Source organism: Homo sapiens, chromosome 14 (assembly GCF_000001405.40).
Source record: "Homo sapiens chromosome 14, GRCh38.p14 Primary Assembly".
NCBI classification, from domain to species: Eukaryota; Metazoa; Chordata; class Mammalia; order Primates; family Hominidae; genus Homo; species Homo sapiens.
The window spans coordinates 68,315,396-68,342,514 of NC_000014.9; the positions used below are offsets into that span (position 1 = coordinate 68,315,396).

Genomic DNA, 27,119 nt, shown 5'->3' on the forward strand with positions numbered 1-27,119 from the left:
CAGTCTTTGCATGTATTGCTCCCTATGTTAAAAACAACAACATCATCATCATTTTAGTATGTGTAAATAATAAGGTCTGCCAGCATTAGCAGCTCTCTAGGCCCAAAGTAAAACTTTAGGTTTTTTTTCTTTTTTTCTTTTTTTGAGACAGAGTCTCACTCTATCACCCAGGCTGGAGTGCAGTGGCGTGATCTCTGCTCACTGCAAGCTCCACCTCCCGGGTTCACACCATTCTCCTGCCTCAGCCTCCCGAGTAGCTGGGACTACAGGTGCCCGCCACCACGCCCGGCTAATTTTTTTGTATTTTTAGTAGAGACAGGGTTTCACCATGTTAGCCAGGATAGTCTCCATCTCCTGACCTCATGATCTGCCCGCCTTGGCCTCCCAAAGTGCTGGGATTACAGGCGTGAACCACTGCACCCAGCCCCTAAAACTTTAGTTTTACTTGAACTGACTTTATATTAATTTTCTACTACTAGAACAAGTCACTGCCCCCCAGAGTTTGAAGAAATGTGAATATTAACTAGGGCTTATCTGAATGAGAACAACAGCATTGCTCTTTTCGTAGTGTTGTAATAAATATCATCTTAGACTTATACGGCATTTTCTTTAGGGCATTAATAGAGTTTATATAACCTATTGTTCATTTACTTGATAGCTCATTGAGACAGTTTAGGTATTGATGCTATATTCACCATCTATAAAATGGGAAGAATAAAAATATTAAGTTCAACTTAAATGGGTTACAAGAAAGAATACAGACATTTGTATGATCTATGTCTCCAAGATACTGCCTAGAGCTTTTAAACTTTGTAAGTTCTGCATTTCACCTACCCAAGGGAGTCTGAGAGTGTGTAATTTGGGCCAGGGCACAACAGCCCTTGGCCAGGTTGAAGTGGACAAACAAATGGAATTGGTTCCAGTTTACCAACCTGGCACGAATTATGTGCTGGTCAAGGAAGTGTTTTTCAAATCATGGGGAGCCACTAGTGAAAATCTACTGGTGCTTTGATGGTGGCCTTTGGAGATACTTTTATAATTTGAAACCATTCCCATGGCAGGCCAGGGAGAGGTCTTACTTTAGCCAACATGCAACATTAGGTAGAAGAAATGGGGCCTTTCTGACTGGTTTGACCTGTGGGTGGGCCCTCTTCCACATGTTTCTAATTAGGATGCAAGAAAGAGTAGATATTCTGTGGCGACTCTCCTTTCCTTCTCGGCTGTGAGACAGAACAACAGCGCCTTTGTGATGACCTTTACAGGGCTGTTTACATTTGGTGACCTGCCTGAACACTCCCGCCAGAGTGGACGCACCTCTTGGCTAATGAGGAACAGCCATGCTGTCTTTTACTATGGTAGACCTTGGAGGTTAAAATGAAAAATAAGAGGATCCTCTGTTGATGACTAGTCGAAGTTAATTTTCTTTACAGATTTATTGAGGTATAATTTACATACTATAAAATTCACCCATTGTAAGTATACAATTCAATGATTTTTAGTATAATAAATTTATAAAGTCTTGTCATCATATAATCCAGTCTTAGAACTTCGTTGGAGTTATTTTGAAAACACCAAATAATGATCATAATTGGAATGTAGATCATGCTGAAGTGAAACAGAAATTTATGAGGCTATCTTGGGTTAAGGAAGAGGGCCACCCAGGAAACTATTTGAGACAATTAAGTCTCAAGCTTCTCAAAATACATGAAACCTTGAGATTAGCACTTATATTTCAGAACATTTTCCATATTTTTGCTTACCAAATGGTATGACCTACTTGAAAAAAAATGAGAAGCTGCTGCAGAACCTGCCTCAGGTGTCAGCATCAATTAATGTTTCATGGTTATAATGAGAAGGAGCAGAAGATGAGAGTCTAAGCTCCCCTTAAAGGGCTTATAGTTCACTTTGAACATATTTATTTACGTGCCCTCTCATTTTCAAGTACTGTGTTAGGTACTGCAGACACATGGATAGTGAGACAATGTCTCTACCCTTAAGAACTAGTAGTCCAGTGGTTTCTGTTAAATTTCAGTATGATGTCATAAATTCTGTGGTAAAGTGCCGTGTGATGTCAGGAAGGTCATCAGTAAAGACTTTCTAGAGTTGATGTTACTAAGAAATCAATGACATGGTTAATAAGCTCACTAGTCCTGCTGACACTGAGTCCCTACCCTCGGCTCCATTTGGATGAGGCTCTGTGAGATCCAGTCCCTGCCTTGGGGGCTTTGTCATTCATGAGAGAAACAAGTCCATCACTCCTTCCAGTTAGATATCTGTGAAAAGGTGGAAAAAGCAAAGAACACTTGGAATTTGGGAGAGAAAGAGAGACCATTTAAGGGAAGAATTGCATTTGAGTTGAATTTTGAAAAAATTGAGATAGGCTTTTGCCCGGCATGGGTAAAAGTGGGAAACAGTCCAGAAGAAAGATGTGAGCAAAGGCTCAGGGACAGGAGAACTTGGGATGTGTTCTGAGAACAGTGAGTAATCCAAAATGGATTGATACATATATCACATAGTATAGCTATTTCTATATACTTATGTCAGAAACAAGGGAATTAAGGGAATCACAAGGCTCTGCTTTGCCTGTATCAAGGAAGGCTTCCTAGAGAAGCCATTAATTTCACTCTGTCTGTTATGCATGCTTTACACCAAGGTGATGTGATTAGTTTTCTTCTTTGGTTTCTTCTTTCTGAATTCATCAGGTGGTCACACCCACTGGGCCACAGAAAGCACCAGTGGATTTTCACTAGTGATTCCTGTGATTAAAAAACGTTTTTGACCAGCACGTAATTTGTGCCAGATTTGTAAGCTAGAGTGAATTCTATTTTTGTCCAGTTCAACCTGGCCATAGGCTGCTGTAACCTGGCCCAAGAGCTTAATGTAATACTTTCAAGAAGATTAAAAATCCAACAATCCCTTGAAACATTGGTTGCTAACCTTTGAAAGAGTAGTCACTGCACCTGAGTAGCCTTAGGAAATGAATAGGAGGTCTGAGAAAAAGAAAAAAAAGAAGAGTGGTACCATTTGCTTAAAATCCCTAGGGCCTTATAGGGTAAACCTATTTCTAAATTTAAGTTGCTAAGACCTTGAACCTGGGGTTGTTTGGGGATATTTTGGAAAGTAAGGAATATTATTGACTTTCCATCAGGAAGGAAAGAACTCAGTTGTTTTTGATATTACTAAGAAAGAGAGAGTTTTGCATTTATTTGTTTGCATGGACGGTCTACCTACCGTGTGGCCTTGTTCATGACATGGCGGACCTCCCTCTCTGGGGTCAGTGTGAATAGCCAGGCTGCAGCTGTAGCTAGAGACAATGGCCAGCACTGTTGGGCCTTGCCCCTTAAGCCCCGAAGGTTAATTTCCTAGTATTTAGTGGCATTGAACCCGCCAAAGAAAATGCTGTTTCATCTGGGGGAAGATAATTTCTGCATGTGTATTTTTTTCATGAAGAATAAAGAAGAGATATTTTTGGAAGAACATAACTTAACCTGTTGGCCTTGGCTAGGAAAGCTAAAAAAGCAAGGGGTCAGTACTCTTACAAGTATCATGTCTTAAACGTCAGCCAACCAGTAATTATTTAGATGCCATCAGAGGGGAAGTCCCATCCCATTGTTATTTTTTCTCTAGACTGTGAGATGCTTTAAAAAAACCTCTCTGTAGGGAAATGATCTTTAAAAAACAAACAAACAAAAAGCCTGAGAATTTAGTGCTGCATTTGTTGAGAAGTAAGGGCCCTGGAAACGGAGGAGTTTTTGTTGTTGTTGTTTTGGTGACTGCTTTGCCACTCTGCATGTTACAAAGGGCAAATTCTTGGCCACTGTTTAGGGTTCCCAAAAAATTCCAAGATGTCCAGTTAAATTAGAATTTTAGATAAACAACAATTTTTGTATGAGTACATCTAAAATATTGTACTGGGACCTACTCATACTTCAAAATTATTCATTGTTTACCTGAAATTTAAATTTAACTGAGCCTTGTATTTCTTTTTGCCAAATCTGCAGTGCTTTGTTACTTCAATAAAAAAACTGTCCAAGGAGCCTGGGAGCTTTTATGATTATTGAAAATCACTGTCAATTTTAAACCTAAACAAAACAATAGATAAAGCTTTGAAAATAGAATCAAGTCCAGTCATACCAAGTGAAAGGAGTCCTTTCTCATTTTTTTATCTTCTTGTAGCCAGCTCTGGAGATCCAATTCTATTGGGAATGGCTCACCTAGGTCTACTGTAGCTCAGAGTTATACCTTGTAGATCACCTGGATGCTTCTGTGTTCCAGCTTTAACTCAGAGGATCAGGTCAGAATGGAGGCTCCCTTTGAAATCTAAAGTGCTTAGCTTCTTTAGGGTAGCTCCACACCCTTTTTAATTCTTCTGTAAAATGTCTATCTAGCCTAGAGAAGTGGAGTCTCACTAGACATGGTTCTGAGAATAATAGCTATCATTTACTGAGTGCCTAATATGTGCCAGTGCCTTACCTGCATTACCTGCCTGAGTTCATACTGCCTTCTAACAACCCTATGAGACAGATACTGTTATCTCCATTTTACAGATGAGGAAATAAAGACCCAGAGAGGTTTAGTAACTTTCTGCAGGTCACAGAGCCATTGAAAGGCAGAAGTGGGATAAGCATTCAAATCAATCTGACTCCAAAACCCCTTCAGTAACCATTGTACTACTGCATGTGATGCCCTTAGATTCTCCACTTTTCCTCTCCCTCCCCAAGCCCCCAGTTTGGCTTGATATTGGAATCATCCCTTTCTCTCCTTGTTCTTTACTGGCTGGAATTAATAGAGTACTTTCGGTCTGAAACTGGCCTTAAAGAATCTTTGTCCGTGTGTATCACACTGCAATGCAATAGACGCAGAAATCTGGGCACTAGAAGATGTTAACTTTGGATGCCTCCTGTTTTATATGCATATGATTAAACCAATGGGGAAAGAAAGCCCTGAAACTTTATTACAACATTTTTGTAGTATTAAATTTGACATATTAAAATGTGTTATCATTTTAATATCTTTAAAGAGCCTGAGGAGACTCTCAAGCCTTAGACTGTAAATAGCTAACAGCTTTGAGATGAGCTTACATAGGAGTCAAATGATTGTTCCAAGATGGCTGTTCTAATTCTGCAGAGCTACCGTAGTATTCAGCCTACTGCCTGCCAAAGGCAAGGGGCCTTGCCCCTCTCTTCCTCCTCCCTGCTTTCCTCTTTGTTAAGAAGTAACAAAAATATACTGCCCAACACCCACTTTCTTTTAGAACCAACACATATTCCTTCTGGCTCACTCCCTCTATAAAATGATTTGTCAGCATTTTGATCTCATTAAATAAAAAGTTTTACTTGGTCAAACTGGGAAAGTTTATGAAGTTAGCCCTTCCATCCCATCATCTGCTGTGGCCACAGTTGTTGACTGTGAAATAGCTCTGTGGGTGTGGTCTACCAAGTATCCCAATAGCATTTCTTACACTGTGGGCTATGGACCCAAAGGTCTGGAAGAGTTGTTTTCATAGGGTCACACTAGAACACTGGCTCTTTCTGGTTAAAAGCTTCCCTAGCCTTTCTCCTCCAACTCTTAACACATCTCTCATGTTTCTTTCCCCCCTGCAGAAGTATAGAAACCTCCTCTTTTCTTTTCCTCTGCACTCTCCTCATCTGTCTCCAAGTCCCCATTGTGCCATGTTTCTCCTACTTCCTGTTTCCTTTAACCACTAACTTCTCACGATTTTTAAAATCAAGCCTATCCAATTCTAAAAGGAAATTGAAACCCTGCCCACCAAAAAAGTAAAACTAGGGGGAAAAAGCCATAGTAGGAGGTATAATGTTATGATCTTCTCTCTTAGCCCTACACATCTGTAAAAAGTAATCTTGCTCCGTACTGCAAGACTAGGGCAGCCCAGTCGCCCACTCCCCTTTTATTCTCCCTCCTCACATTCCCCTGTCCTTTTCTAACCCACCTTCCCACTTAGGGTCTAATTTAGCCAATTTATACACTCGCCAAGCTTGCAAAGGTTTTGGTTCTCTCCTTTTGGGTGTGGAATGCTGGTGCCACAGGGGCTTTCAGAAACAATTTAGTAAGTGATAGACTTGGAAGAGTTCAAAAGCAGCTCTGGGAAGACATCACTGATGAGTCTCTGCTCTTAGCATTTTGTTGCCTCTTAGAGGCTTAGCAAATAGCAGCATTTGATCCATAATCTGCTCTTTCTTGGTACCCAGAGAGGCAGCACAAGGGTAGACCTTGAGCAAGTTACTTAAACTCTGAGCTTCTGTTGCCCTTTCTGTAAAAAAAGGCAAAATAATCATTCTGACCTCACATTGTTGCTATGAGGATTCAGTTAGTTAATTTTTAAATTTTTTAAAATTAATGTGTTTATTTTTTTGAGACAGGGTCTTGCTCTGTCATCCCTGCTGGAGTACAGTGCTGCGATCATGGCTCACTGCAGCCTCAATTTCCCAGGCCCCAATTATCCTCCCACTTCAGCCTCCTGAGTAGCTGGGACCACAGCTACTCCCACTTCAGCCTCCTGAGTAGCTGGGACCACACCTGGCTAATTTTTGTATTTTTGGTAGAGGTGGAGTTTCACCATGTTGCCCAGGCTGGTCTCAAACTCCTGAGCTCAGGGGATCTACCTGCCTCAGCCTCCAAAAGTGCTGGGATTACAGCCATAGCCACTGCGCCCAACACAATGACTTAATATTTATAATACACTTAGAACAGTGCTTAGCATGTAGTAAGCACTAGATTAAATAAATGTATAAAATGAAGGAAGAAATAATAATAGTGTTTTTCTTTTAATTCATGCATGAAGAACTATGTTCGACTTCTGTATGGTATCTTGAAGGGGTCCAAAATAAATCTGACTGGCAGTTTGAAGGCCTATAAGAGAGCATATTACATAATTTCACTCAAGGATTTTGACAATTAGTCCAGCTTGATGGATCTCTTCTCACCTGTATTTTGGCCAAACTGACCAATTATTTCCCATTCCAACTGCCATCCAAATTTCCTTCCCCATCCCTTCCACATGTTTCAGTTGCTTTTGCTGCCTTTGCTTCATATTGACTGTCAGGATGTATGGCCCTGTAATACTAGGTTTTTATTTAAAAAGCCTTTCTCTCATTCATAAGCTTCTTTTGAGGAGTGAGGCCTGCATTTCTGATGGTTGTGTATCATTCCCATGCCTTGTGCATAAGTGGTACTCTATCCATGTGTTTTGATTGGCTGATTTGAGCTTTTGCAGATTAGGAAATAGTTGGCCTAGAGCTAAGTGGCACCTGAGAGAATCTTCCCCTCCAGGCCTCACAGATGCACTCTGTGGAAAGGCCATTGTCTCCTTGCTTTGTGTTGGACTATTAGGAACCTAAAAGCTAGGACAGGCCTGGGTAGAGATAGCCACCTTTAAGTTAGGGGAATGTTGGGGAGTCTACTGGGATTTGACTGTGAGGTGAAAGGAGGGCTGCCTACAAGCAGAAAGCTTAAGGCATTGGCTTTGTGTAATTACCAGGAATGCTTTTAGCTAGCACCTTGAACGGTTGGTTAAAAAGGGACAGTTAGATGTTTGTTAGATGTGTGGTGTTAATAACCTTGACCAGTAGATTCGTGACTATGAGAATTTCAAAAGGCGAAGCAAGAACACACACAGAGGGAAAACATCTCTTGTTTCTAGGGGCAGCCTTCCCAGCAGCACTCAGCCCAGAGCTGTTTTTCCCCCAAGGAGAACACAGGGACAAAATAAATATGCCTTCCTGACCCAAAGACAGGAGCGCCCAGGGAGACCATGGGATCTGGGAGTGAGAGCAGATTGTAGGGAGGAAGTATCCAGGATGAGACTGGTATTAGCTACAGGCTGGACAGTTAGTCGGTGGCAGCTAGGTACTGCTGCTAGTGGCTGAGGGCAGGGTTTCTTAGAGACCTGAAGATGTGAGCATTCATTTATTTGTTCCTTCATCATTCAGCAAACCTTTACTCAGTGCTTATTATGTACTGGATACTGGGCTGAGCCCCCACTTGTGACCTCACTGGGCATTGAGTCTGAGGCCTTGGCAGCTAAGGGTGGTGTTCCTTAGGGAACTGGGAGGCCATCCAGACAGGAGGCACAGTACAAACAAGAAAGAACTAGGGGCCAGGTATGGTGTCTCAGGCCTGTAATCCTAACACTTTGAGAGGCCAAGGCAGGTGGATCACTTGAGGCCAGGAGTTCAAAACCAGCCTGATCAAAATGGTGAAACCCCATCTCTACTAGAAATAGAAAAACAGTTAGCTGGGTGTGGTGGCAGGCACCTGTAATCCCAACTACTCCGGAAGCTGAGGCAGGAGAATCGCATGAACCTGGGAGGCGGAGGTTACAGTGAGCTGAGATCGTGCCACTGCACTCCAGCCTGAATGACAGAGTGAGACTCCTGGGGAAGCCCAGCCCTGCATCAGAGAAAGTGATGCACTGATGCTTCACACACAGAGAATGGAAGCGGGAGTGGAGGCATTTTTCTGGAGTTCAAGCTTCACCTTCAAGCATGATATTCAGATTCCATGAGAGCATGCAGAAAGAGCCCAGCGGACCTGTTGAACAGGGCATACCATTGTGAGTCCTTAGAAGCTAAAAGACAGCCAAGAACAGTAGGAAAGAAGCTGAGAATAAAAGCTAAGACAGGTACCTCCAATCTCTAAAAAGTTAAACCTCTTAGAGGATTATAAATAAAGCCACACTCACAGGTGTACATGCTATAATTTATTTTATAAGTGCCTGGCATATTAATAAATGGTATGTAGTTTACTTACAGTGCTGTTTGGGTGGTTCTCAAGTAATCTCTTGTTTTACATTCTAAAGTCCACTCAGTGTTAGAATGGACCATTTGAGCCCAAGTAGATTCAACAAACCATCTATACCCAACCCGCACATCTGGGCAGGGATGACACTTGATGAGCCATCCAGGCCTCATCTCATAGACTCTATTCATCCCCTGCTGTCATGGGCACCAAAACATTTTATAGTAAATTGCACAGTAGTTTGTCTTTCCCAATAAACTGTATGCTTCTTGAGGGTAGGTACCCTATCTCTTTATCTCTGACACCTGGCACACAGCCCAGCACATGACAAGATCAAGAACCAGGACTGGCCGGGGCTCAGTCTGCACGTGCTCTGGCTTTCAAGTGGCATCTTCTAATGATCTGAAAGACCTCTCTAGAACTTTTTTCCTTTTATGTTATGTAAATAATATACTTAAGATAGAAACTTTTGTGTTTCATGTTGTATATTAATGTTGAATATAAAGTTTTTTTCTAGAGTGTGACTATTTTTTCACCTAGTTCCTTCAAATTTTCATCCCTACCATTAGTTTTTCAAAGTCTCTGGATTCCTGTTGAAGTATCCTTTTCTCTGGAGGTTTATATCACCTCCTAGGCTGCTTTTGACTTATCTACTCATGCTTTACTTCGGTAGTGCTGATGCTCACCCCCAGTTATTCCTCACCTGTACCATGTGGTATTATTAATGCAAATGAGGCTTTACCCGGCTATCCCCTCCCCTAGCATTTATGCATTCTTCAGGGAAAACTCTGTTGTATATGTCTCTGAGTCTCCCACAGCAACTAACACAGTGCCTTACACTCCATTAGCTCCTCAACGAGTATGTTTTAATAAATTCCATTAGTGGAGTGAGGTAGTTAGGAGCAGGTATGAGCTCAGGCCTTTGAGTGGGACAACCTGGGTCTAATGCTGCCTCCTTCACTAACTACTTTTATGATCTTGAGCAGTCTGCTAATCCTCCTTGTGTCCAACTTCTTAATGTTTAAAATGAGGATAATAGTAGTACCTACCTAATAAGGATTAAGTGAGTTAAGATATGTTTTTGAGGGTTAAATGCATTAAAATATGTAAAACACTTAGCACAATGCCTGGCCTGTAGTGAGAGCTATCATTATCAACAACCACCATCATAGGTACCCATTATCAGAAGTTGGGGGTTTGGATAAAGAAATTAAGTTTCTCTAGGTTATATTTTTGTGAAGTCTGAACTGGAATGAACTTCTTCAGATTCCTCATAGAGTACTTCATGCCCCGCCCTTTTATTGCACAGGGACTATATCTGCTTCAGTATGATGTAGAACATCTTGATTAAGAGTATTTTTTTATCTTTCGTCCTTGACTTATCTTTTGGTGTGTAGGTATATTGTTTCATCACATTCTCATTTTTTTTTTTTTTAAAAAGAGTTGTTCCATTTCCCCTTTTTCTGTCTACTGCTTTCTCCTTCTACGCTTAGGCCAAGAGTATATTACACTTGGAGGCATCTAGTTAGCGTGGTGCTTCCCAAACCTTTCCAGGACCCAAAATAGGCTAAATACCACACCAAGGGAGACATCGATGATGTTCTATTAAGAACAGTGAAAGGGAACCCAGGCATAAATATACACTCAGTATACACAACTGTCACCACCCATAGCACTGACCATCCTATTGTACCTTAGAACTTAACACTGTAATTTATCTGAGTGTTTTTTAATGGCTCTCTACTAAGTGTCAAGCTCTGTGCTAGGTCTGGGGAATGGAAAAATGGTAAGACATGGTTCTTGCTGTTGAGGTGCTTAGTTGTAACAATTTATTTTCATCTTTTATTAAATACTAATTGAATAATGTTGTTATTCTTTTTCTTTTCTTTTTTTTTTTTTTTTTTTGAGACGGAGTTTCACGCTTGTTTCCCAGGCTGGAGTGCAATGGTGCAATCTCGGCTCACTGCAACCTTCGCCTCCCAGGTTCAAGCAATTCTCCTGTCTCAGCCTCCCGAGTAGCTGGTATTACAGGCATGCACCACCACACCCGGCTAATGTTGTATTTTTAATAGAGACGGAGTTTCTCCATGTTGGTCAGGCTGGTCTTGAACTCCTGACCTCAGGTGATCCACCTGCCTCGGCCTCCCAGAGTGCTAGGATTACAGGCATGAGCCACCAAGCCCGGCCAATGTTATTATTCTTTAAGTAAAACATGTTTCCCCAAGTAAACTTACTGTGTGTTTAGTACCATCCTGGACCCTCTTACTCACAGTGCTATTTGCCCCACTACTACCCAGTAAAAAGAAAGGGTGACAGGTTGTAAGGACATGTAGGGGTTTGAGGAAAGTTGGGCTTGTGTCAATGTAATAAAAGCCAAGTAGTTCTTCTTCCAGCCCAGTCTGTATCTATGACTAGATCATGAACAGAGAACTAAAGGCTTTTGATTATAAACCTCCTTATGCCTAGGCTTGGCCCACACTCAACTCTAATACAAATAGTAGTAAATGTTAGGAGTAGACATAAAATGAGCACAGGTTGCCACTAGAACTTTTTCTATAACCTAATTACATTTTTTTCAACCTAAAATATTACATATTGTGTCAGCCAGGATGCCATCAGGAAAGAGATGGTGCACTTTAGTATTCCGAGGCTAATTACAGTGGGGCTCCATTAGTGCCCCTAGATTGAGAAGGTGAGGGAACAGGCTGGTTTCTGGAAGCAAGGAGATAGAGGGGGCTGTGTGGAAAAGACTGCCTAGCAGGATCTGAGACCTTCCATCAAGAGGCACAGCCAGTCCATAGCCCAACATCACTCTGCTCCTTCAAATCTCCTACCGGTGCACCCCAGTGGCCCAACCCAGGAGAGTCCTGTTGATGTGACACACACAGGCCAGGTCCCAGGGCAGAGAGCAGGTGAAGAATGATTGTGAGTAAATCTAGAGGGGCACACAGGAAGATATCCAGCAAACATGTTTCACACTTGATTTTAGAGGTAAGGGTGTGTATCTTAATTTTATCTGTTTTAGAAAACTAAAATTTTAATAGATTTAAAGTATTTCTGCCATAGTTCTTAAACTATCAATCTGATGATGTCAGATATTTTTCTCAGTGTCATTAGTTTGACCTCCCGCCACATTTTTTTGGTGGAGAGGGGTGAGGGATTGTGTATAAATTTCCTCCAGAGCACACAGAGAATAAAAATGCTATTCTTCAGTTTGTTTTTTTTTGTTGTTTTTTTTTTTTTAACAAAGAGTTGTTCCATTTCCCCTTTTTCTGTCTACTGCTTTCTCCTTCTACGCTTAGGCCAAGAGTATATTACGCTTGGAGGCATCTAGCTAGTGTGGTGCTTCCCAAACCTTTCTCAGCCAAAGACTCCTCTGGGAATCCAACTAAATTTCCTGGTTCCCTTTTGCTTTTAATATCAATGACCATATTACCCAATGAGGTTATTTTTATTTCTTACAAATATTTTTATAATTAACTTAAGATTCAACAAGGAGCCAAAGGTAAACAGACTGTAATTATTTCAAGTTCTAACCATTATGAGTAGATATTAATCTTCGAGAAGGTATTATTAAAAAAAAGTATATAATATTCATAAATTAAAGTCAACTTATAAGTACAAAGGAATATCTGTGACTATAAAAGGAAAAATAAACTGGAATTTAAAATTTAATCACTGTGCCTTAGTAAACACGATCCTGGTACATTTCAGCACAGTATTTGTGTTTCAGAATAGGATTTTGTCTTCTAGTTATTCACTAATACGTATTTATTTTACTATCATTCAGCAAGAAACCCTTTAAATCACTGTCAAAAGGTAGGTGATTTACTGGAACAGCTAACCTACCTCTGCCTAGAGTCCCATAGGCACTCACTTCCCTATGGAACCCTCTGTCCCTTCTTCCCTTCCTATATACCTCAGGTACCTTTATGCAGCCTTGTTCTATTGCCACTCTGCCTGTTTTACTAAGCTGCCCTAAAGTCACTGCAAAATTTTGATCAGAACATTACTGAACCAGGACACAAAGAAATGCTCATTACAGGCTTTAAATATATGCTTTTTCTTAGATCTATGGGAACAATTTCTCTAATTCTTAGGTTTTGCTCCCTGAAATTACACAGAAAGTACTGTATCTTCTTAACCCTTTCTCCACCCCTCCTTTCATTTCAACCCAACAAACTTTTCTCCTGTGCATTGCTAGGCAGTGCTTCCATTGTCCTTAAGTGTTTAAGGTCTTGTGCTGGTAATGAGCCAGTAGTCACAAAGCTAGCCAGTGGATTTGTTCTTCAAGCCTTTAGTGATTCCATACTCCATATAATGGACTATACCATTTGTGGATTCCTTGACAGCCATGAGGAGACACTGAGGGAGCTATGAATAGAAGAACCCTGTGTTCTCCCCTGTCCAGCTCCCCTGGCTTTTGGAAACAGAACTTCAATTTTTCTTCTCCATCTATGTGGTTCACATGGAACTGACCCCATCCTCCAACTCTAGAGGTTGTCTCTGAACTTGGGTCAGACCAAACGAGTTTCAGTGCTTGGTTTAGAAATGAATATGTAACCGAAGCTGAGCATGTGAGAATCCAACCATAAGAATTTGGCCGAGCCTTCTGGGGAAGAGGAGCCTCTGTAAGCTAGGGTCACTAAATTGGTACAGTGAAAGCCTGTAGCCACCACTTTGGAGAAGCCTGCCTAAGACTAACAACACACTGCAAGGAAGAGCTGAAAGATGGAGAGAGACTGGTTCTCATCATCATTTGACCACTCAAGTTCAGCTACCTTGGTCATACAACCCGTTAAATCTATCCCCAGCCCTACCAGTTATTTTGTATATTATGTCACTTTTTATTTTTATTTATGTATATATTTTTTGAGACAGGGTCTTTTGCTGTTGCCCAGGCTGGAGTGCAGTGGCATGATCATAGCACACTATAACTTCACACTCCTAGGCTCAAGTGATCCTCCCACCTTAGCTTCCCAAGTAGCTAAGACAAGAGGTGTATGCCACCACATCCAGCTAATTTTTTATTTTTTGTAGAGATGGGGTCTCACTATGTTGCCCAATCTGGTCTCAAACTCCTGGCCTCAAGCCATCCTCCTGCCTTAGCCTCCCAAAGTGCTGGAATTACAGGCATGAGCTACCACACCCAGGCTTATTATGTCAATTTGAATGTGCACTCTGTCACTTATAACCCAAACTCCTGAGTCAAATACCAGCACATCTGAGAATTCAACAACTTCTGGGATCCACAGCCCCATGGAGGCTACAAGCTACTAAAAAGATAGGAATGTCAGCTTCAGCTAAGAATTCCAGAAATCTACAGAAGGTACCTTTCCTTTTCTTTGGTTCCAGAGAGCATGATAATATACATACAGAATTCTGGAAACTTGGGACCAATAATAGGGTGTATTACCAACTGTGTGTGGTATCTGTAATTAAATATTGCTAAAACCCTGTAGAGGCTGGTTTTTACCTTTAAAAAGATCATCTTAAATAATCTGAGGATTTTTATTTTAAATAAGTTAATGTTAAAAATATTTTTTGGGCCGGGCCCGGTGGCTCACGCCTATAATCCCAGCACTTTGGGAGGCCGAGGCAGGTGGATCACGAGGTCAGGAGATCGAGACCATCCTGACCAACATGGTGAAACCCCGTCTCTACTAAAAGTACGAAAAAATGGGCTGGGCATGGCGCTGCACACCTGTAGTCCCAGCTACTCGGGAGGCTGAGGCAGGAGAAAGGCATGAACCCAGGAGGTGGAGTGTGCAGTGAGCCGAGATCGTGCCACAGCACTCCAGCCTGGGCAACAGACCGAGACTCTGTCTCAAAAAAAAAAAAAAAAAAATTGATAGCATGAAAATTTGAAGTAAAGAGTCAATTATGTTAAAGAAAAAAACACTCCAAAATCTAACATGATGCTAGGCTACGTTAACAAGAGCCTGGCATTAAAAACTGAGTCACCATATTCAGCATTAATAAGATACTAGCAAAGCTCTCATTCAGCTGCCATGCCTAGGTTGTGCTTCTGCATGTTCAGAGGATGTGGAAAGCAATTGAAATGATTAAAAGCATGGAAAATCACATCTCTGAAGAGCGATGAAAGTAGGCTATTTAACTAAAAGAAAAGAAGATTGAAGGAAGAAAATAAATGGTGTTTAAGTATAGAAAGAGTTCTTATAAAGAAAAAGGTGTCCAGATGTTTCCCCCTTCCACTGAGTATATTAAGAGAAAATTGCCTTAGACATTTCATTTTTACAAAGGAAGGATTTTTTCAAGCAAATAGGATTCTTGTACTGGGTGTGACATTGGACTAGATGACCTTTAAGATTTTTCTTCACTAAGATTCTATGATTACCAGATTGAGGATGTACTTATCAAAAGAGTGTGGAACCACTTGCTGTATGTCTTAAAAGGTAAGATGAGGAAACACTGGCTGGTTTGCCTTAGGTGTCATTCTGCCCAGGAGTTACTTCCAACATTCATAACATGCCTTTGAAGAAGCAAATATTGTATATAGACAAACAGCATATCAGAAAAAAATCAAAACAAAAACAAAGGAATACTAGCATTAAAGTAATAATAAAATATAGGATTTTTATTTTCTACTCTTTCAGTATAGCCATTAGCAATTCACAGTTAGTTTCTTCATTAACTAGATAAGATAAGTGAGGCAAATCATGGGACAGTTTAGTATTGGTGACAGTGTGTTTGGAGGGGTAGAATTAAGTGTTCCATATGGAATCAGGAGCATTTAATGTCAGCTCTAGTATGTATGTGGCATATTTCCTACTGCAACTTAATTGGCATAATTTTGGATCCAGAGAATACAAACCAAGACTCAGAAAACTATATTTTACTTTTAAAATATAGTTTTAAAAACAATTCTAGGTTTATACATGGAAAAGCTATTCTAAAGAACAATAGCTGGCCGGGCGCGGTGGCTCACGCCTGTAATCCCAGCACTTTGGAAGGCCAAGGCGGGTAGATCATGAGGTCAGGAGTTCAAGACCAGCCTGGCTAACAGGGTGAAACCCCGTCTCTACTAAAAATACAAAAATTAGCTGGGCATGGTGGCGCGTGCCTATAATCCTAGCTACTCGGGAGGCTGAGGCAGGAGAATTGCTTGAACCAGGACCTGGGAGGCAGAGGTTGCAATGAGCCAAGATCATGCCACTGCACTCCAGCCTGGGCTACAGAACGAGACTCTGTCTCAAAAAAAAAAAAAAAAAAGCAATGGTGTTGGCATTATTGTGGTTTCAATGGATCTATACTTATTTAAAACTTAAAGTTTAAAAAAAAAAAAGTCCATATGTTGCTCCACATCTTTCTGTACTAGTTGGGCCATTTTGTTGAGTTCTACTATGTGGCAAGTCAGGATGTTTTGTGTAAGTACAAGCTCCTGTGACTATAGTTTTCATGCATCCACATATCTACTAATTAGCTCCACAACTGGGTTCTGCAATTTCCTGGGCCACATCGCTGAGACAGATTCCGCATGTTCTGCACCAGCAGTCATTTCCCCTTCATGGAGCCCACATAGTCACTTAAAAGTAATTTATCCAGGAGGGTTTCCAGCTTTTAAGTGAGTCTGCTAATAACAGAGGTTGTCTGACTTCACAATCAATTATCCTGCATAGATTCAAGTGATAATTTCTATATTTGTAGTTTTCAAGTTGCAGGGAAAAACTGGGAAGGGAGAAGAATATCAATTCTGCAAACTGGTTATTGAAAGTATTGGGGGGGTTTGCTGAATATGGTGATTTTGATGGAAAGGAATCTTAACAATACCCCATTCATATGCATTTTCCAATTGAATTATGGAAGAAAAATTAACTTAGAAAACCAAGCAAGCAAGCAAACAAAAAGCCCCAAACAACAGCAGCAAAACCCGACTTCCAAAAAGAGTTCACATTATAGGCTTACTTTTAAAAACTGATCTAGAAACAAGAAGCTGGTTTCTAAGTTTATTTCCACACTTGCCCTCTGAACCCTGTCTTGTTGAAAGATTCAGGATATCAGATTCTCTCCCATAATTTCCTTTCAACAGAACTTACTGTATTACCCACCCATCCCCCAAATATAAATGGCTAAAACAGCTGGCTCTTTCAGTCTTGGTGTATACACACAAACACAAATGAGATACACACACACACACATGTATATTATACATCTCTGCATATATAAACACATACTTTGGTCATTTATTTTTTTAACAGAATAAAGGTAATTAATCAAAATACAATTCATTTTAATAGTTGAGGCTTGACAGAGATCATTATTTCAAGAAAAGCCAAGGAGAATAAGCTCCCTTTCATAGTATTGTTTTCTTTCTAAACCTCTATAGGGTGCATGGCTCTTAACTACTGAGAAAGTTTGGGACAGCACCATGGAGCAGCCTCCTGGCCTACATGTTAAAAGATCTAAATTCTCTTGGGGAAGGAGCTTATAACTATGTATTCACTCACCCCACAGAAGAGAAGATTTTGCATCTGTTTTATTTCTAATTCTAGGCTGTCTCTAGTTAGCCATAGGGCAAAAAAACCAAAACTATTTCCCCCTCTTTCCCTGAAGAAAAAAACTGAAGTGCAGAGAGAGAAATAAATATCTTTTTCTTATTCCAGTTCAATTTAGTTTCATTTGTTCTTTTCTTTAATATTTTGTGAGCGGAGAAGAAACATCTTTAAATCATCTCATCTATGTGAAACCTGTTTTTAGAGAGTCCAGACTTTTTCTCCTTCATTCTGTGATTCCATCAGTGATGCTGAAATGACTGATTTATAATTCTCCTTCCTACTGACTGGGAAATAGAGGTGTATCATAGTGGAGGGACCAGGAAAATGGATAGGTAGATGAAAGAGAACCAGAGGACCCTGTCCACAACCCACCCACCCAGCTGAGGACTGTTAGCTGGTCCATGAATAGAATGCTCTCACCCTTTCTGCCTCTGCATATACTGCTCTGCTACAGAGCCACTCAGCAGAGTGGTGTCCCCTTGACCCAGTTGGGGCCATCCCGGGACTCCTGTAACCTAGGACCTTCTAGCCTTAATCATATCATCATATGTAAAGAATGCCTACAAATCAATAAAGAAAAATAGAAAAATAGACGAGGGATATAAACTGGTGATTTTTAGAAGAAACCTGGGCATTCAACTTTACAAGTCATTAAGGAAATAAAAATTAATACAAAAATGAGATCCCACTCTTGCCATCAGTTTGGCAAAACAAAACAAAAACCCTAAATGTTGGTGAGCATATAAGAAAACAGGAACTCAAACTGCTAATGGAAGACGAAACTGGTAAAGCCACTTTGAAGAACTATCTGGCAGCCTCTAGTCTGATGTGAACAGGCACAAGCACTGCAGCCCAGCAGCTACACTTCTAGCTGTGAGCCTTAGAGATACCTTTGCTTCACAGGTAAAATTATGTACAACAAAGGCTATATTTATTTTTATGTTTTAAAAAGGCCAGAAGGATGAACACCAATTTTTTCTTTTTAAAATTAATAGATAACATTGTACGTTATAATCATATACAACATGATGTTTTAAAGTACACATACATTGTAGAATGGTTAAATCTAGCTAATTAAACAAATGTATTGATCACATAGTTACCATTTTGTGGTAAGAGCATATAACATCCACTCTCTACATTTTTCAAGAATGTAATATATTTTTAACCATAGACACCTTGCTCTTTCATAGGTGTCTTGAAATTTATTCCTCTTGTCTCATTGCAATTGTGTATCCTTTGACCAACATCTTCCCATCCCCCTCTCCACCACACCCCAGCCTCTGGTAACCACCATTCTACTGTCTACTTCTATGTAATCAACTTTTTTGGATTCCACAAAGAAGTGAAATCATGTGGTATTTTGTTTTCTGTGCCCGGCTTATTTCATTTAACATAATGTCTTCCAGGTTCATCTATATTGTCACAAATGGTGGAATCTCATTCTTTTTTATGGCTGAATAGTAGAGTCAACCCTAGAAAAATGCAGGGATGAGGGGTGCTAACCCTCACACAGTCAGAAATCCACAAATACCTTTTGGCTTCTCCAAAACTTTATTAGCCTACTGTTGATTGGAAGCCTTACTGATAACATAAACAGTCAACACATACTTTGTATATTATATATAATATATACTGTATTCTTACAGTAAGTAAGCTAGAGAAAAGAAAATGTTATTAAGAAAATCATAAGGAAGAGAAAACATATTTACCATTCATTAAATGAAAGTGGATCTTTGTAAAATTCTTCACCCATATCGTCTACACATTGAGTAGGCTGAAGAACAGGAGGAGCTGGTCTTGCTGTCTCAGAGGTGGCAGAGGTAGAAGAGGTGGAGGAATGTAGTGGGAGATAGGAGAGACAGGTTGGAGTAGCTTTATTGAAAAAATCCATATGTAAGTGGACCTTGCAGTTCAAACCTGTGTTGTTCAAGCATCAGCTGTGTTCCATTATGCATATAGGCCACATTTTTTTTATCCATTCATCTGTTGATGGACCTTTAAGTTGATTCCATATCTTGGCCATTGTGAATAGTGCTTCCATAACATGGTAGCACAGATAACCTCTCCAAATTCTTGGTAGTGGTTGTCACTGGAGGAAGAAATGTGATTGGCATACTTTACTTGATATATCATGTGATATATAGGATAGATATATATTTTATGATATATAGGATAGATATATCATATATTTTATGATATATAGGATAGATATATATTTTATGATATATAGGATAGATATATTTTATGATATATATACACACACATATATAAGTATTATATATGTTTTATATATATATATATAAAAAAACAAACAAGAACTGAAGAAAATATAGAAAATATGTTGGCTGGGCGCAGTGGCTCATGCCTGTAATCTCAGCACTTTGTGGGGCCGAGGCAGGCAGATCACTTGAGATCAGGAGTTTGAGACCAGCCTGGCCAACATAGTCAAACCACATCTCTACTAAAAATACAAAAATTAGCTGGGCATGGTGGCGGGTGCTTGTAATTCCAGCTACTCCGGAAGCTGAAGCAGGAGTATCGCTTGAACCCAGGAGGTGGAGGTTGTAGTGAGCCGAGATCGCACCACTGCACTCCAGCCTGGGTGACAGAGTGAGACCCTGTGTCAAAAAAAAAAAAAAAAAGAAAAGAAAAAAGAAACAGAAAATATGTTATATTTTTCTCTGTACTTTTCTGCATTTACATTTTTCTCAAAATTAAAAAAGCAGATAGCCACTCTTTCAGTTGATTAGTACAATCAGCATACTTTAGTCTCTTAGTAATTTTCTGATTTGCATCTTTGCAGTCCCTAAACAGTCTTTCCTCTATGATACTAACAGGTTTCACTGCAACCAGCTCACCTTCCTGGATCTGGTTTTAAGCTTGGTGAAGGCAGTGCTGATAAGGTCTGACAATGTGGGGAGTGGTAGAAGAGGCTTGGAATCTTTTACTGTTTTTCATAGCATTTCAGAGAGTTGGAAAATAGCTTCAGGGATCATCTAATAGAATTTATTTATTTAAATGAAGAAATTGTGGTCTTGAGAGCCTTGTTCAGATGCACCTGGCTAATTAAAGGTAGAGTTAGAATCTGTAACTACTGATTTTCTAGTAACAAGAGCAGAAAGTTCTACAGAGCCTTCCCCATGGACAATCAGGCACCCACCATGGGTTTGGTATTTTGGAAATAGCCATTAGGTTAGCAATACTTTAAGGGACTAGAAGGAGAGGTTAAAAGTCTCTGTGGTCACTACATTCAAGAAGCAGTATAGCATAAAGGCTGAGAGAAGGTTTATCAGAAGCCATACTTGCATTGGTGTATATCTTGGCTCTGCCACTTCCAGCTGTTTTATCTTGGATAAGTTACTTAACCTGTCTGTGCCACAGTTTCTTTAATTGTAAAAGTAACAATAATAATAGTACCTATTTCAGAGGTTATTCGGAGAGTTAAAAGAGTTAATAATATGTGAGAATGATGTCTGATATATAATGTATTCAACAAATGTTAGCTATTATTATTTCATTTGGAGAACAAGCTATTAAGGAAACTGAATGTTTAATTATGGTTCTGCCATCTTTTGCTTTAAACCACTTATCTCTCAAAACTGTCCTATCTTCCTTTGTATTTAACTTGGATGAGTCTTGGTTTTACAATAAAGAAAGCAGAATTCAAAAAGGTAAGATCATTTACTTTCCTAGAATGATGTCATACATCTGTGGTAATGATTATATTTCCTTTTCATTATATTTCACTCAACACTTATTCATCCCTATTGGTATACATGGGGGCTACCCATGGGAGATGTGAAGCAATCTAGTTGACAAAAGAAATAAAGGACTGAGTCCCTGGGGGTGTTACTGTCCAATACATAGATTGCTATTTTGATGCGCTCTGATCAATTACAAGCAAATTCTTCAAGTTTTTAAACAAATTACACTCCAAATTCCTACATTTTGACAAAAGTGCTTTGAACCTTAATATAAAATGATGATAGAATTCTACTTGCCACCAATGCATCTATTAAACAGTGTAGGTTTCTAGGACCCAAATCAGATTTTCTTTCTTTGTATCAGTTTCTTGAAACTAATGCTATAATCCTGATGTGGCTTTTAGACACCAACCCATTCAATGGTGGAGAATTCATTCCCAGGGTTTGAAAGACAGCTAACCATTTCTTTGTTTGTCCCCAGTGCTTTTAACCAAATAATGTAGTTCTTAAAAGATGCATTTATATAAGGTAGAATACTCTACATTTCCTTTTTATGGTTGTTTAAAAATGTTTTTAACAAACATTACAGTAATTTTTCTCATCTACCTCAGAAAAGTTCCATGTTCTAACTGAGATGAATTCCTTTGTCAAACTAGTAAGAGGGTGATTTCATTTGTAGTTTACTTACTAATTTATTCCATAATTTGAGTGTTAATCTTGCTGTCAGATGAATATAATCAACTTTTGGACTCAATTTCTTCCTGTGGAGGGGAGAATTTCTGTGTACCAAATTCCCACATAATTGCCTCTTTTGCACACACCCACATCTTATTTTTGTTGGTGCCTATCCTAGCCCATCGCAACCTGTAATTGTCCAGCTAAATAATTTTTAAAAGATTTGATGCTTTCAGGTACCAAAATGATTCAGATTTAAAGCTGCAGTGGATAGTTTATTGATACATGAATTAAACCTGAAATACCCCCTCAGAACCTTAAATCTCTTTTCAGGACAGATGTCTAAAGTTGACCACAGTTTTTCTGTGTGAAAGTAGATGCTAAAATTAGCCATTGTAGCATGCAGCTTTGTGGAAGTGGCTGTACTCTTGCATCCTGTGGTTCTTTCTTCCCTATTGGCATGGTTATTTTGATCTGAAATGTCCTTTTTCCTTTGCTGTCTAGCTTTCTGCTGTCTACCTATTGCCATTCCATGGGCCATAATTCTCAGGTGGAGGTTTTTAAAATTTTCCCTTGCCTAGGCTATATCCCAGACCAGCTGAATCAGAATCCCTGGGGACAGAGCAGGGGTATTTGAGTTTTTAAAACCTCTTCAGGACATTCTGATGCTCAACCTGAATTAAGAACCACTTGCTTATTGCCTAGGTTAGAAATTTTTATTTGTTTTGTTTTGTTTTGTTTGACAGGATCTCACTCTGTCCCCCAGGCTGGAGTGCAGTGACATGATCACAGCTCACTGCAGCCTCGACCTCCTTGGCTCAGGCAATCCTCCCACCTCAGCCTCCTTAGTAGCTGGGACTACAGGCCTGTGCCACCACACTCAGCAAATTTTTTAGTTTTTGTGTTTTGTTTTGTTTTGTTTTAAGAGATGGGGTCTCACTATATTGCCCAGGCTGGTCTTGAACTCCTGGGTTCAAGCAATCCTCCTGCCTCACACTCCGAAAGTGCTGGGATTATAGTCATGAGCCACCGTGCCAGGCCCAAAAATCTTTTATTTGTAAATAACTGAAACCCAAACTATCTTAACAGCAACAAAACAATTTGTCATAAGGAATCACGAGACTCTCACATAACCCAACAGCATGAAATACAACTGGACTTCATAAGAGACCAGAGCCTGGAACAGGAGCATTTACAAGGACCCAGGCAACTAGTCCCTGTTGCCCAGGTGTAGCTCTCTGTCTGCCTGGCTCCCTTCAGGGGCTTGTGGATTCAGATCTCTGCTTCTCTCTGTACATCTGCTTTCTTTCTTTTCTCTTTCTCAGCTAGCCACTTTCGCTGCTGCTGAGCACATGGCCAAACATGGTGCATCCTCATTACCCACATTTGTACGTCCTTAGTTCGACTTCCCAGCCCAGGGAGACTAGCATCAATGAATCTAAATTCCTGAGAGAGGATCTGATCAGTCTGGCACAGGTGATATGTCTGCCCTTAATCCAACCAGACAACATGGCTTAAACATGGCTGCCAAGGGCCCACCCATGTGTAGGTTAAGTTTGGAGGCTATTTAGCTATCTCAAAGTGTATCTTTATGCTTGCCATATTTTTTTTCTTTTTTGAAGGAAATTTTGTATTATTTTAATTATTTTTATGGACAGAAAACTCAACAGTGTACATTTAACCCAGTTCAGTGGCAAAGTTCTTTAACCTTTGCCTTTTCGAGCTTGATAATGTGAGCTACAGACTTGAGACCCAGGACATTGCCTCCCCAGTGACAGTGGATCTCATCGTATCTGTCGTAGTTGGTCCTGATAGCTTCCACCAGCTTAGCCAAAGCTCCTTTGTCTTCCGAGTTAACCTTTGTGAAGACAACAGTGGTGCAGGTCTTCCTGTGGACTAGATGTCCCAGTCTTGCCTTCCCCTTGATAATGCAGTAAGGGACCCCCTTTTTACAACATGGGGCAGGCAGGCAGAAGACAGCCAGCTCGATGGGATCGACATCGTGTGCAGTCATCACCAGCTGAGCTTTCTTGTTCTCCACCAAGGTGGTGACCATGTTAACTCCTGCTCGAAGGACAGGTGGTCTCTTAGTGGGGATGTCCCCTTTGCTGGTAGCTTTCTTCTTGGCCTGGGCCAACAGCCTCTGCTTCTTCTCTTGCTTTGTCTCTGGCCTGTACTTGTGGGCCAGCTTAAGCAGCTGAGTAGCTGTTTGGTGGTCCAGGGCCTGGGTGAACTGGTTAATGGCAGGAGGCACTTACATCCACTTACAGAGGATGGCTCTCTGCCGCTGCAACCTGATATAGTGGGGCCATTTCACAAAGCGGGTGAGGTCTCTTTGGGGCTGGATATCCTGTCCAATGCCAAAATTCTTAAGCCTTTTCTCAAACAGGGGATTCACCACTTCCTTGGCCTCCTGCTTCTTTATGACAGCAGGAGCTGGAGCCATTTTTTCTCCTTGGCTTTCTTTCCTTTCAGCATCTTGGGTGGCGGGAGGAGAGACTTATGGTTGCCATATTTTTCATCTAGCATTATACCAAATAACTTTGTTTCTAATTTCAGTTTTATTGATGATATTTTCGCCTTTAAAGAAGGTGAAAAGCAACAATTTTCATATATCAGGGGTGATTTAACGTTACAGATGCCACTAAGATGAACATTGAATGTACTGTTCTCTCTCTAAGCCTAGTTCTTCCTCTTATAAATAGGGATCAGTCTAAATGTTGAGAAAATTAGAGAATTGGGAAATCTGCCTCTCCTAAGTAGTAAAAGTTGAAAAGTAGTACAGTAAGATAGCAATCTAATAGCACAGTCATTTTCTACAATGTATATAATTTTAATCATCACAATAAAGAATGTTTAAAGAAATTGAGGTAGTTTAATCATAGGCAGTGCTGAGATGTGACCATATAATGATCTTTTAGAGAGAAGGCTGCTACTTTTTCTTTGTCTACACAAGGGTTAAAAAAAGAAGAAATGTTTTTAGGAGGAATGTAACATAGTGCCTGGCACATGGTTAGTATTCAATAGTATTTTACTAATAGTGTTTACTTAGAAATATTTATCAGAAATAACTTCAAGGTGTCTTTGGACCGATACAATGAGTTACCAAGGAAAGTAAATACATCTTTCCTTCTTCCTTTTTTTACCATTAAAGGAAACCAAAATACTTCACCCTCAAATATACTTCTTTGACATATTTGAGATGGCTATTCAGAGAACCTGCAGACAGGAATAGCCCTGTAAAACTACCTTTTGTGGGGGAGATTTACATCTGTAGAGAAAATCTACATTGCTGAAATAAACAGCCAGCCTTTCTGTGCTGTGACTTGTCTGGATCTAGGACAGATGGGCTCCTGGGAGAGAGAGACTGAGAGTTTGACACCTCTGGGGATCTAATAGAAACTTACTCTTTTGGAGGGCTGCTACCTGTGAGGTTTCATCTGCATTACAAGACTGCCTTTGCTAGCCATGCTTTTCTTCTCTTCCACCCATAACTGGTCTTGCCAGACTCTAAGCCTCTATTCCTTCTGTAACCTCAGGATGAAAACTTCAACTATCTGACCCTTTCTTTGAGTTTTTCTTATTTTTTATAACTCCTGTGCACATGCGTGCATATTACTATTTTTGTATGCCTTTTTTCCTATTAACCTGCCTTTTGTCAGTTGATTTTCAGTAAACACTCAGAGGTTGAAGGGGAGGTTTTCCCTAGGCTCCTATACCATCTTGCATATTTGGGATATCCCAAGACATCCATGACGCTTGGCTCTCTAGGACATTGAAATCTGGTTAGGGAAGTAAAATATGAAAGCAATGGAGAACAGTCTGCCTTTGGCACTCAGAGATCTCTAGATGTTTTCACTTGTCCCATTTCATCCTTATAGGTTAAGAAGCAGGGAAATAGAGTTCATTACAATTTCAAATTATAATTTTGCTGATATTTTCCCCTTCAGGGAAGGTGAGAAGCAAGAATTTTCACATATCAAAGGTGATTTTACCTTGAAGATGCCACTAAGATGAGCTGGGCAGAGAGAATGTTAAGGCAAAGCACAATGTTAATGACTAAATTAGAACTGAAAATGAATTTAATCTCTTTAAAGAACAAGAATCAAGGTAACTGTATTTCAGTAATGTGTAATGCAAAAAATGCATGATGAATAAAATACATCATAGAAATATGAAGGGTTGAGTTATATGCAAGTATATTATAGGAAAAATTAGTTGATCTGATACTGTATCAGAGTAGCTTCATCATTAAATGACACTGTGTCATTTATGGAATCATTGGCAATTCCTAGAACATCTATTACAGCACTAAAGTGGTCAGGGTTTTCATAAAGTTTTGTGGAAGTCTGAACCTTATTTTCTTAGGTCAAAGACATGGTAGAAGCAATTTATAAGTAATGTTTTATTAATAAAGTGATTTCTAAGTTTATGATAAATACAAGTGACAGATCCAGTGGAATTTATTGGCTAATGTAATTGCGAAGGCTAAGAAGTGGATCTAATGGGTTTCCAACAATGTCATCATCGTTTCTGCTGTAATTCCATCTCTCTGCTCTGCTTTCCTCCTGTTGGTTTCATTCGCAGCAGGTTTTGCCATATGGGAGGAGCAATGCAGCAGTCTCTGGTCTGTATCACTTAGGATCTCATAAGGCATAAGGTCTTTTTTCTCTCCAACTTTGTCAGTACGTTCAAAAAGAGTCCTATTGGCCCATTAGATCTTTTGTCTACCCCAGTGGCAGGAAGACAGGGCCCCAGAGGTAGGGGTGGAGCAGTTCTCCAAAGGAAAGGAAGGTTTCAGTTATTAGAAAAGGGGTGGAAAGAATATATGTCCACCAATATATCACACAACTGCATATAGTGCACTTTCACATCCTGTGGCAAACAAAAATCTTTCACTAATGGAAAGGAAATGATGGCTTGACATATTGTGTATAGTGTAAGAAAAAAAAAATCCAGATGCTTTTTTCATATTCACTCTAATTCCCTAGGTTACAACTAATTAGTACTTCCTGTTTGCTCCCCATATAATTTGCTTACCCCTTGACTCTATCACATGTTTATCTTCCTTCTAGAGGCCTATCTTACAGAAATAGGATGTGAACACTTGAAGACAGAACTTTGTCTTTTATCTCTTTATTTCCAGTGCCTAGTCCAATCCTTGGAACACAGAAGCCACTTGATGCTTACTGAGTGGAATTAAATTCTATCCTATCTACTGCTTATATTAGGAAAGAAAAAAAATTTACTAGTCAAGGGCTTCAGGGGGAAAGTCTTTGTTCTCTAGGAGGAAGGATTTTCCCTAAGTCACTCTTGGCCTTTCTGCTTCTTCACTGTTCCTCCTTAGGGAAAGTGGAATGGCTTATCTAACTGGTGAGTCTGAGATAAGGAAGCACTTCGCACATTCAGATATTGTCCTCCACCAGCCATAGAGGGACGGGACAGGGGGCCCTGCCTAACCCAG

At 40.0% G+C, this 27,119-nt stretch overlaps 1 protein-coding gene and 1 pseudogene across 12 annotated transcripts in view, besides 1 other annotated feature; one reads left to right on the top strand and one right to left on the bottom strand.

Annotated features, from left to right (window-relative positions):
- Positions 1–27,119, top strand: part of RAD51B (RAD51 paralog B) — an 863,318-nt gene that overhangs the window by 495,617 nt on the left and 340,582 nt on the right. The window lies entirely within an intron of this gene.
- On the bottom strand, positions 23,273–24,154 carry RPL7AP5 (ribosomal protein L7a pseudogene 5; annotated as a pseudogene).
- Positions 26,428–26,487: an enhancer, noted in NCBI's record as "active region_8606". NCBI's record gives its function as "activates an Ori minimal core promoter by ATAC-STARR-seq in GM12878 lymphoblastoid cells {active_cell/tissue: GM12878}" and the evidence as "EXISTENCE:reporter gene assay evidence [ECO:0000049][PMID:35858748]".